The sequence below is a fragment of the Homo sapiens genome, chromosome 21, assembly GCF_000001405.40.
Source record: "Homo sapiens chromosome 21, GRCh38.p14 Primary Assembly".
NCBI lineage: Eukaryota > Metazoa > Chordata > Mammalia > Primates > Hominidae > Homo > Homo sapiens.
Genome location: NC_000021.9, coordinates 39126794 through 39138759, shown reverse-complemented (window position 1 = coordinate 39138759; position 11966 = coordinate 39126794). Strand labels below are relative to the sequence as shown.

At 42.6% G+C, this 11966-nt stretch overlaps 1 pseudogene, besides 1 other annotated feature; it reads right to left on the bottom strand.

The window, feature by feature from the left end:
* Positions 612-1519: an enhancer, noted in NCBI's record as "H3K27ac-H3K4me1 hESC enhancer chr21:40509167-40510074 (GRCh37/hg19 assembly coordinates)". NCBI's record gives its function as "activates a minimal SCP1, AML or CMV promoter by ChIP-STARR-seq in naive H9 embryonic stem cells {active_cell/tissue: H9 hESC(naive)}" and the evidence as "EXISTENCE:reporter gene assay evidence [ECO:0000049][PMID:30033119]".
* On the bottom strand, positions 10671-11205 carry RPL23AP12 (ribosomal protein L23a pseudogene 12; annotated as a pseudogene).

Below are 11966 nucleotides of genomic sequence, written 5' to 3'. Positions count from 1 at the left end.
TCTCTTTATAGGTAGTCTTAAAATGTCACTGGAAATGTTTTGAACAGCAGTCTTTTGTTACTGCAAAAATTCAGCAAGTCAATTATATGGGCCGGGAGGAATTTACACTTTAACTCCCTTGCACATTTGCCGTTCACTTACTTACTCGTGGGGAACAGTGAAAAAGCTGGGATGGAAGTGAGGCTTTCTTCACCACATCGATGGCCCACATTTTCCCATGCTGTGAACTCCATCATGAATACCTGAGGCCAATTTTCTTAAATCAGATTTCCCCTTACTTAGAATTGGTATTGCATATGCATGTTTCCTGCAGGAATGCAAGTCTTAAAGGGCAGCAAAATGTAGAAGTCGTTTACTACTGCAGAATGTCCCATCAAGCAGCTGTACTTAACTTAGGAAAGCATTAAGTGAAGATTGGACACAAGGGGACAGTATTGCTCAACAAAGGTTCTTTGCTGCTGCTGGTGAAGTTGGAGTTTTTAACCTGCTCTCTTCTAAATATGTAAATGTATAAATAATGCTCTTTGCTCATTTTTCTACAAAGACCCTTAAGCAATTAAAAACACATCAAAGAAATCAGTATGCATGAGCTTTTTAGTGTGTCTATTGATTGTTTTTTAAGTAAATATTTTTAAGGATTTTTTTTCCCTCCCAGTTTTTATGAGACTGGCTGGTTATTAGCAAAGATAAAAAACTGCTCCTTTTCCTGGAAGAGGCTGTTCTTTATCAGTAGTGCTGGGACATTCAGCCCTGGAGATATTAATATTCTTAAGATTCAGGAGGTTCTGTTCTCCGAGGAGAAACTGATCTGTGGGGAACCTATTGAATCAGGATCTCAAAATTGTCACCCGTTTCTTCTGGGTGGAAATTGTCACCACTTAAAGGGGCCACTGAGTGGTCTCAGATCACACTGCCAGTTTTTCATGTCCACACTGGTGTGCTCCACATTTAGGCCTCAGTGTTCTGGGCCCTGCCTCATCCTCGCGTTGCTCTGAGCCAGCCTCCTGTTGCGTTGTTGCATTGATTAAAACCACAAGCGCGTGGATTTCTCCGTTTTTTTAAGATTTCTTACTAGAAGTTGTTGGAATGCTGAGTATTTTCCTCCTTCCACTGAGCTGTGTCTGCCATGGGCCTCCCTTCAACAAGGCTTTCCTTCTTGTATTCATGGCCGGACCCCCTGGTGTGGCCTCATTTCCAGATTCCCGCTCTCCCTCCCCAGAAATGGTTTCCATATGTGACCCCACGCGCTCTGGGCAGGCACCTTTGGAGGGGCTGACCTCCCAGCTCTCTTCTCTGCAATCATCAACTCACACCTCCTGGGTTTCCTTCCAGGCTGCAGAGCTGAGAGCTGAGAGCTAAGAGCCCACAGGCAGAGGGCCCTCTCCAGGCAGGTTTTATCTGCGACCTCTGCTGACTCAGGAGTGTGGGAGGTGATGGCCTTAGGGTTCTGTCTGGTGCTTTCTGTCTGATCTGCTGCCAGCTCTCTTCTTCCAGCCGAGGCCATGAGGGTTTTCATGGATAGCTGGGAGCTGGATTCTAGGAGACTGGATGCTGTCACAAAGAAAAGACCGTTTGAGGCTGGGTGCTGTGGCTCACACCTGTAATCCCAGCACTTTGGGAGGCCGAGGAGGGTGGGTCACTTGAGGTCAGGAGATTGAAACTAGCCTGGACAACACAGTGAGACCCCTTCTCTTAAAAAAAAAAAAAGAAAAAAAAAGAAAAAGAAACACTAAGGGAATTCCTGTGTGGGTCCAGGTCCAGCGTGAAGCCCTAAGGCCCCACAAAGGGATGTGAGCAGCCTCTGCCTGCCCTCCAGGGCTGACAGTCACATAACTAACCTCGTTATGACTCAGTGAGCCAGGCCTGGCAAATGCCTGCGGCAGATGACTGACCCATCCTGCAGAGTTCAGGTTTCAGCTGAGAATTGAGCCCAGGGTCTCTTGGACTCATGTGCACACACAGGACCTGAGTGGGGGCCATCCGGCCTGGGGCCAACTGACTCCCAGGTCCATCAAACCCAAGTCCGTGTCAGGGCCATGAAGGCAATGTGGGTGCACCAGAGGCAGTGGCATGCTGGTGGACACAGGTGGTTTGTTTTCCGGATTTTCAGCTTGGGAAGGAATTGGGATGTGTTTTGTGAGTTCACAATGGGGTGGATGAGAAGTGGCAGGAAGGCAGATGGTATCTGTTGGAAGTGTACATGGTTGCAAGTGTCTCCTGACTGCAGAGGCAGAAACAAATAACATGAATAGTCATATATATATATATATATATATATGCGTATATATTTTAAATTCATAGACTTTACTTTTTAGAGAAGTTTTAGGTTCACAGCAAAATTGAGTGGAAGGTACAGAGGTTTCTCAGCCCCTACACATGCACAGCCTCCGCCATTATCAACATCCTCCACCAGAGGGTACATTTGTTACAATGGATGAACCTGCATTGGTGCATCACCGTCGCCCAGAGCCCAGAGTTTACACAGGGCTCACTCTTGGAGTTGTATGTTCTACGGGCCTGGACAAACGTGTAATGACATGGATTCACCAGAGCCAGAGTTTACACAGGGCTCACTCTTGGAGTTGTATGTTCTACGGGCCTGGACAAACGTGTAATGACATGGATTCACCAGAGCCAGAGTTTACACAGGGCTCACTCTTGGGGTTGTATGTTCTACGGGCCTGGACAAACGTGTAATGACATGGATCCACCATTGTAGCATCATACGGAACAGTTTCACTGCCCTAAAAATCCTCTGTGCTCCACCTATTTATCCCTTCCTCCCCTTAACCCCTGACAACCACTGACTTTTCACTGTCTCCATAGTTTTGCCTTTTCCTGAATGTCACATGGTTGGACTTACGCAGCGTGTAGCTTTTTCAGACTGGCTTCTTTCCCTTAGCAGTGTGCATTTGAGGTTCCTCTACGCCTTTTCGTGGCTCCACAGCTCATTTCTTTTCTAGCACTGAATAATTGAATGGTCATATTTGTCCAGAAGTCTGGAGTGGACAGTCCCGGGATGCTGCAGGGGCTCAACAAGGTTATCAAGGACCTGGTCCCACTGCTCTTTCGGTTCCACAATCTCCATCTGGTCGCCTGATCCCCTCATAGCTGCAGAGGCAGCTGCACCTCCAGGAACCGAGACCTCCAAGACTGAAGCTGGAGGAAGGGGAAAGGTAGGGGAAAGGTGATGCCAGCCCAGGCTGACCCCTGTTGGTGCAAAAGCAAGAGGTTTCCTAGAAGGTCCCTGCAGAGAACATCCACTTACATCTCACTAGCCAGACATGGGTCATGTGGCCATCTCTGGACAGCAAAGGGAAAACAAATGGCCACATCTGGTCTAGACCAATCATGGCTCACCACAGTGCTGGGTAGGGGCGTCCTCTCCACTGCCTCGGAACACACTGGGGCTCTGTTAGTAAAGAAGTGTGTGCATGTGTATGTGTGTGTGTTAGTGTGTATGTGTGTTAAGGGAGGAGACCACCCCTCATATTGTCTTATGCCCAATTTCTGCCTCCAAAGAAAGAAGAAGTAAAAACTAAAAGGCAGAAATGAAATCCACAAGCAGACAGCCCGGTGCCACCCCCTGGGCCTGGTAGTTAAAGATCGACTCCTGACCTAATGCGTTATGTTATCTGTGGATTACAGACATTGTATAGAAAAGCACTGTGAAAATCCCCATCCTGTTCTGTTCCGTCCTAATTACTGGTGCATGCAGCCCCCAGTCACGTACCCCCTGCTTGCTCAATCCATCACGACCCTCTCACGATCACGACCCACTCATGCGGACCCCCTTAGAGTTGTGAGCCATTAAAAGGGACAGGAATTGCTCACTCGGGGAGCTCTGTTGTTGGAGACGTGAGTCTTGCCGAAGCTCCCGGCCGAATAAAGCCCTTCCTTCTTTAACTCAGTGTCTGAGAGGTTTTGTCTGCAGCTTGTCCTGCTACAGTGTGAGTGTGTTAGTGAATGTGCATGTATGTGTTAGTGTGCATGTGTGTTAGTGTGCATGTGTGTTACTGAGTGCGTGTGTGTACACGTGTGTGTTAGTGAATGTACATGTAGTGTGTTAGTATATACATGTGTTAGTAGGTGTGCATGTGTGAATGTGTGAGTGTGTACATGTTAGTGAATGTGCATGTGTGTGTGAATGTGTTCGTGTGTATGTATGAGTGTATTAGTGTGTACATGTTAGCACGTGTTCGTGAGTTTGTGTGTGTTAGTGAATGTATACATGTTTGTGTTAGTGAGTTTGTGTGTGACTGTGTACATGTGTGGGTGTGCGTGTATATGTGTACATGTGGGAGTGTGTGCGAGTGTGTACGTGTGTGTGTGCGCGAGTGTGTGTTAATGTGTGTGTATTGAAACAATGCTGAGAGGTAACGGACGGTGTCTGTCAGCCACAAAGTGCAATACAAAGACCATTTTCGCGGCAAGAAACTGAAGGAGCTAGGCAGGAAAGCGGAGCCCCCTTAGCGGAGGTGGGCGCTGTCACGCTGGATGTAGAGGAGATTCAGGGGTCAGCCTGTGGGAGACAGGCCATGTGAGGGTAATCATCACATGAATGGTACAGATAAAGTTTGGAGATGGAAGGAATCACTGTTAGTTCAGAGAACTAACGGTGTTGGTGATGCTGGAGCTGGGCATTGGAGAATGGATATAGAACTGTTTAGCTGTTTTATTATATAAGAGTGACAAATATTGCTCCTTGTTCTTTAATCTTTATTTGTTCCTTCTCTGTAGTTAAAGCAGCCACAGTTTTCGGCAACATAAGGGCTGCCTTTCCCATCTTCCCTTGTGGCCAGGAATGGCCCCGGGGAGGGAAGGAAAGCATTCAGGCACCTTTTGGGTTGTGGCCCCCAGGGGAACAGGCCCCTTCCCTTTTCCCCACTCCTACCTGCAGGCCTGCAGCCTAGGTGGCAGGACAAGGAGATAGAAGGAAACTGAACTTGTGCAGCTCTGTAAGAGAAAATAAAAGGTTTTCTTGTTTAAATCAGTATTATTTTGGGTGTCTTTGTTAATATGAGCCTGTATTATAATTAAAGTCATAAGCTTTTAGTGTCTCCTGAAAGCTGCTTTAATCATACTTATCTAAATCAAGGCTTACCTTGCCTTGCAGTGTTAAGGAGCAATTTATAGCTTCCTTTTTAAGAAGGCCTTTCCTGCACTATGATCGGTTGATGGTCCATTTGTGTCTTGGGTCTGAATCTTCTGGTTGCCCTCCAGCCTTGTGGACTGGCGTGGTGGGTATTACTTGGAAATGCCAATTGGTGCTTCCCTTTTTGCCCTCTAACCTTTCACTTGGGAAGGGTTTGGTTGTCTCAGGGAAGAGATGGGACAGCAGAAAGAGAATCAACTGGGGTCAGGTCTAGGCTTTCCATTTCCAGGGCTGTCAGAAAGAACAGCTGTGCACAGACACTGGGTGGGGAGGCAGATGTGAGGGACCCATTGCCAGCACATGCAGAGACAGTTCAGGACTGTGGGGGCCTTCAATGGGGGAGTGGGGGTGCCTCACCAGGATCGATGGCAATGAGGTCTCCTCAGAGGGGCAGGCATGGATATCAACCCCCTCGGCTCACCTCAGCCCCTCCCCAAGGCAAGAATGAGGCAAGTCCCCTAAACCTCAGCTGCAGCTCGGCCAGTGGACTGAGCTTTAGCCTCTGCCATTGATAGGGTGAGGGCTTATGGTGGAAATTAAGCCATGCTATGGAGGAATGCACAGAGCTGAATTTCTCACACACCTCCATTCACTGACAGAGACTGATACCTGCTACACAAGTACTTATGGAGATCAGTTCTGAAGGGCCTGGCAAAACACTGGGTATTGCAGATTGAAAAACTGTGGCTGATGCAGGGATGCATGGGTCGGCCCCTCCCCTCCCTTCCATCTTTTTTCTGTCTAGTCTAGTCACAAGGGCTCTAGGTGACCATGCTGGAAGGTCTTGATGCTACTTGGTCATCTGAAGACTATTGGAATATTATCACAAATGTAGAATCTGTAGAACTAAAAGATGAGTCGCCTTTCCTGGTGGCAATTTTGAAAGGGGGTATTTTTTTTTTTTTTTTTTTTTGCCAGCAGCTACCCACTTTGCACAGAGTGCTTGGCCCATTGTAGAAGGTGCACTGAATATTTGCTGATGGAAAAGAAGAAACTCTGTGTTTCTTTGGGATTTCCAAATAATTTAGCCTTTGTTTGAGAGGCAAGTGATTGTAAGTAAATGGATCCTATTGGCACAATCATCGTTTTGTATTTGGAAGGAAACAGTCAGCACCAGAGTGACCTCTGAGGGCAAACACCTGAGAGAGACCACAAAAATGTGTCCCCTGTAGAAGAAAGGTCGAAGAGAGCTGGAAAGAACTGTATCGTTGACTCAACATGAATGATGCTGATTTTGCATAAAAAAGCTGCTTTCCATGAAATTTTATTGCTTATCTTAGAGCTGTACTAAGAATTGTAAACTAAAGGGTGAAAATAATTTGCTGAAATCCCACTTCTTTACCTTAAAAAGTCACTGATGAGCAAAACTGTGAACAAATAGCTTTCAAGCAAGTCAGCAGCAAAATAGTTTATACAAACAAATTATCCTGGTAGTGAAGAAAACGTTCTGAAAAATGGGATGCTTGGCCATAATAATATGAGTTATTTTAGGAGCCAACATGGGTGGAATTTCACATAATCTTAGGGGAGGTCTTTCATGAAATGCCATAAATCATAACAAAATCCAGAAGCAGTAAAGGAAAATATTGATAAATTTGACTTCACACAAACTAAAAGCTTTTGTAAGTCAAGAATGCCATAAGCACATTTAAAATACCAACCACAAAATAACCATCAAATTAAAGTATGAAGCCAATTTTCAACCTAGCACTTTTCTGAGCATTTTTCTTTGCTAAGAAAAATATTTGCAACACATTTTGTGGTGGAAGCTGACAGCTAGATATCCACTGAAATCTATTTTCCTTCTTTAATTGTCATGGGATTCTAGAGAGGCCTACATAGCACTCTTGGGTGGCCTTCACAATCCCTAGTACCTGGTGTTCATGCCCTTATGTTGCTTCCTCCCCTTGAGTATGGGTAGGACATATGACTTCTAATCAATAGTGCATGGAAAAGGTATCAGGATTGACATGATTGTGTGTATGTAATTATATATATAGCATTGTCATATCCATCTTGCTGGATTTTCTCTCTCCCCATTGGCCTTGAGGAAACCCTACATGGCAAGGAACTGAGGGCTTCTAAGAGCTGAGGATAACAGGGCAGGGCTGATGGATAACAAGGCAAGACGTTGAAGCCTCCAGTCCAATTGAGTTCTGCCAACCTGCCTGGACTTGAAAGTGTATCCTTCCCCAGTCAAACCTCAGATGAGACTACAGCCTAGCCAGTGCTTTGACTGCCATCTTGCAAAGGACCCAGTTGAGCCAAACCAAACTCCTGACTCACAGATTCTGTAAGATAAGAAATGTTTAGTTTTAAGCCCTAAGTTATTAGTGGTAATATTGTTAGGCAGAATAGAGTAGATAGTTAATACATAGCCCAACTATACTCTATCTTTCAGCTGTCCTGGCAGTTAGATGTGGCCATATGACCAAATTCTAACCCATAGGATATGAGCAGAGCAATGTGGGTCACTTCTGGGCCAGGGGTTTGAAGGAGTTGGTATGACTCTTGCCCATGTTCTTCCCCCTTCTCCATAGCTAGAACACAGATGTGCCCCTACCCCAGTATTGACATTGCGGAAGAGAACAACATCTTGAGTCATGGTGGAAAAATAAGATGGAAGGAACCTGGGTACCTGAATGTGATTTTAGTGTATCATATGAGTGGCCATGTGTAGCAGTATGAGACATTCACTTCAGACTGTCATAGGTGAGAGAAACAACCATTTATTTCATTTAAGACACATATTTTGTTGGCTATTTTTGTTATAGCAGCTAGCCTAACTAATTTCCATAAGAAATAAAACATACAATTCCAGAAGAAAAAGCAATAAAATAATAAAAACTGGGCAAAAGACAAATAAAGACCCTTCACAAGAAAATAAGTATAAAAAGATGGAAAGTTTTTCCATCTTGTTCTCCTCCCACCTCCTGGCTCCTAGAACAGAAACCATATTATTCTTAAGAAAAGTAATATCTATTTTCTCTGAGACATACTTTTTACCTATCTAACTGTCAATGTTAAAATGTTGATGGTTTCCCATGATGACACTGGCGTAAGGAAACTTTCCTTCTAATATACAATTCTGTTGGTAGAAAGCTAATTATGTGTAACTTTTCCAGAAGACACACACACACATACAAAACAAGCAGAGTACTAGAATATATTTGGGATGTATAGTAATGTCTATAGTCTGCCTACTCATGCAAATAAAAATATACAAGTACATATTTCTGAGTATATGCATAATCATTTCTTTCTGGAAGGAAATTGCAAGGAATTGTTAACCAGTGGGTAGAATGACTGGGGCTGAGGTGAAAATGTCATTTTTCATTTCATGTCTCTCTTGACTGCTTCAATTTTATTACAATGAATTTTTATTTAAAAAACACAAATGGATTATCTGGTGGTGGGTTGGATGATTCTGCCTTTTCAGCCAGAATAATCTGTTTTTTTTGTTTTTTTTTTTTTTACTGCAAATAATTTATGCCAAGAATTTTACTTCCAAGAATTTATGTGTGTGTGTATATATACAAACACACACACACACATCTGCACATAAATAAAAATGTATACTCTATCATTTTTACAAAATCAACACAGTAGAAAGGAATTTAGGGCTTTAGCAGGGGACAGGTTGGAAAGGGATGGTACCTCTATATGATGGAATATGACTGAGCCATGAAAGGAATGAGGGAATTCTGTATGGGCCCACATGGACAGATCAACAAGACAACAGGGAAAGAACGGTTTTTCAACAAATGGTGCTGGGAAAACTGGATCTCCACAAACAGAAGAATAGAGTTGGACCTTTTCTAACACCATATACAAAAATTAACTCAAATTGGATCAAAGACCTAAATGTCTTTGAAAACTATAAAAGTCTTAGAAGAAAACAGGGCAAAATCTTCATGACATTGGATTTGGTGAGGATTTCTTAGATAAGGCACAAAAGGCATGAACAACAGAAGAAGAAAATAGGCAAACTGGACTCCATGAGGGTGAGAAACTTTTGTGCATCAAAAAGACACTTTCAACAGAGTAAAAAGGCAACCCATAGAATGGGAGAAAATATTTGCAAATCATATGTTTGAGAAGGGATTAATATCCAGTATATATAGAGGACTAAAAATCAACAACAAAAAGACAAACAACCCAATTGAAAAAGGGGCAAAGGACTTGAATAAACATTTCTGTAAAGAAGATGTATAAATGGCTGGTAAGCACATGAAAAGATGTTCAACATCATTAATCATTAAGGAAATGCAAATCAAAACTGTAATGAGATACCACCTCACACCCATTAGGATGCCTACTGTAACAAAAACAGAAAATAACAAGTGTTGGTGAGGATGTGGAAAAACTGGAACTCTTGTGCATGGTTGATGGGAAAGTAACTTGTTGGAGCTGCTGTGCAAAACAGTATGGCAGTTTCTAAAAAAATTAAACATAGAATTACCATATAATCAAGAAATTCCGCTTCTAGATATAGATCCAAAAGAATTGGAAGCAGGGTCTTGAAGAGATATTTGTACACCACATTTACAGCATTATTCACAACATCCAAAAGGTGGAAGCAATCCAAGTGTCCGTCAGTGATGAACGGATAAGCGAAGTGTGCTACATGTAACAATGGAATATTATCCAACCTCAAAAGGGAAGATTCTGACACACGCTCCAACATGAATGAACCTTGAGGACATTAGGCTGAATGAAATAAGCCAGTCCCCAAAAGACAAACACTATGATTCCACTTATATGAGGTATCTAGAGTAGTCAGATTCATAGAGACTGAAAGAATGATGGTTGCCAGGGGGTGGAGGGAGAGAGATATGGGAAGTTGTTTAATGGGTACAGAGTTTCAATTTTGCAAGATAAAAAAAGTTCCAGAGATGGATAATGGTGATGGCTGTACAAATATGTGAATGTACTGAATACTGCTTAACTATACGCTTAAAAATAGTTAAGAGGGTACATTTTATTTTATGTGCATTTTACCACAGGAAAAAAGGAAGAAAAAGCAACCAGCAGCAACAATGTGTATATAGCACAACTATAATTTATCAAAATATATATTGTTTGTTGTACGTGTAAAGAATTTCTGAAAGAACACACAAAAAAACTGTTGACAGTAGGGAGATTGGGAAATCAGATGACAGGGAGACCTTTTTTATTGTATACCTTCTGATAGTGTTTGGAATTTTAGTTTGTGATGTACACATCTTTTTGAATTTAAAGCAAATTATTGATTACATTTACTTTGAGGTTGATTTCCTAAATGACTCTGGGGGCAGCCAATGAGGATTATACTGATTCCTTATGTTGGTTTCTGCTGAGATATTTTGAGTTGTTGGATTTTGGTTTCTTTTATCAAACTCAGTTTTCCAAAGGATAATACTTAATTATTTAAGAGGAGAACAGTGAGACAAATTAAAAATTTAGTTGGATTGCATTTGAACAACTTGAATTAATATATAAAACAGTAAAGGAGCCTTCAGCATTTCTTTTTTTTTATGGTGAAAAGGTATACATATATTTAGAATTAGCCAGCTGGACTCAGTTTAGATGATCCCAATTTTGTTGGCAACATCCAAAGCATCGTAATCAGGAGCCAGTGGAACATATGCCTTCTTCTCTCCATCAGGCCAAATCAGGGTGTTGACCTTGATCATGTCAATATCATAGAGCCTCTTCACAGCCTGTTTGATCTGGTGCTTGTTGGCTTTAACATCCACCATGAACACACGTGTGTTATTGTCTCCTGTCTTCTTCATGGCCGACTCAGTGGTCAGCGGAAACTTGATGATAGCATAGTGGTCAAGCTTGTTTCTCCTGGGGGTGCTCTTCCAAGGATATTTGGGCTGCCTCCGGAGTTGCAGTGTCTTGGGCCGCCGGAAGGTGGGGGACGTGTGGATCTTCTTTTTTTTGTGGTTGTGAACACCTTTCAACACTGCCTTCTTGGCCTTTAAAGCCTTTGCTTTGGCTTTGGCTTTAGGAGGGGCAGGAACTTCTTTCTTCGCTTTCAGCACTGTCTTGTGAAAAGGGTCAGCATTTCTTAAACAACAAATAGGGCAACAATCTAGAAAGCATTTGGCAAAAAAAACAAAACAAAACAAAAAAAAAACAATGAATATATATAATCACTAATTTGTAGGGAATGTGCTTCTGTGATGTCTAGTAGAATCCAGGCACTATGAAGGAAATGTGAATACATCTGTGCTGGGTAGCGAGTAGTTCCATAAACAATTTTCACAGCTAATGTTGATTATTGTAGATCATCTGGCTAGTTCATTTTGATTAAATTATCTATTTAGAGACAAGGAAGGATAAACAAGACATTGCCTTTAGGGAAGAAAAGAATGAGTAGAAATGTATTTTTATCCCTTTGAGTGATCCAGCATAAGAACTTTGGATTTCAGTGCACTCACAGGTCCATGGGGGAACAGTCATTAGGTAGTAAGTGGTGTTCGCTGGAGAATGGAACAGCTTCCCAGGCTGGGAAAAAGATGCATCTAAAGCCCAGGAAGTGCATGGTCTCACTCTGCCGTTTTCATTAGGCAGCTTTGTTCTTTTAAAATGCAAGATAAATGCATCTGCCTTAGAACTGAATTCTCCTGTAATAGAATTTTTTAATTCTAAATCTTTAGCTGAAATGCCCAATTATTTAAAATAAGTAATAATTTACACCCACTCTTCCGCCATTGAGAACTTAAGGCACAATATCTTGGCTTCATTGCTATTGCCGTTTGGAGCCGGATGCTCCTTCACGTGGGGCTGCCCAATGCACCGTAGGATGCTGCACAGAACC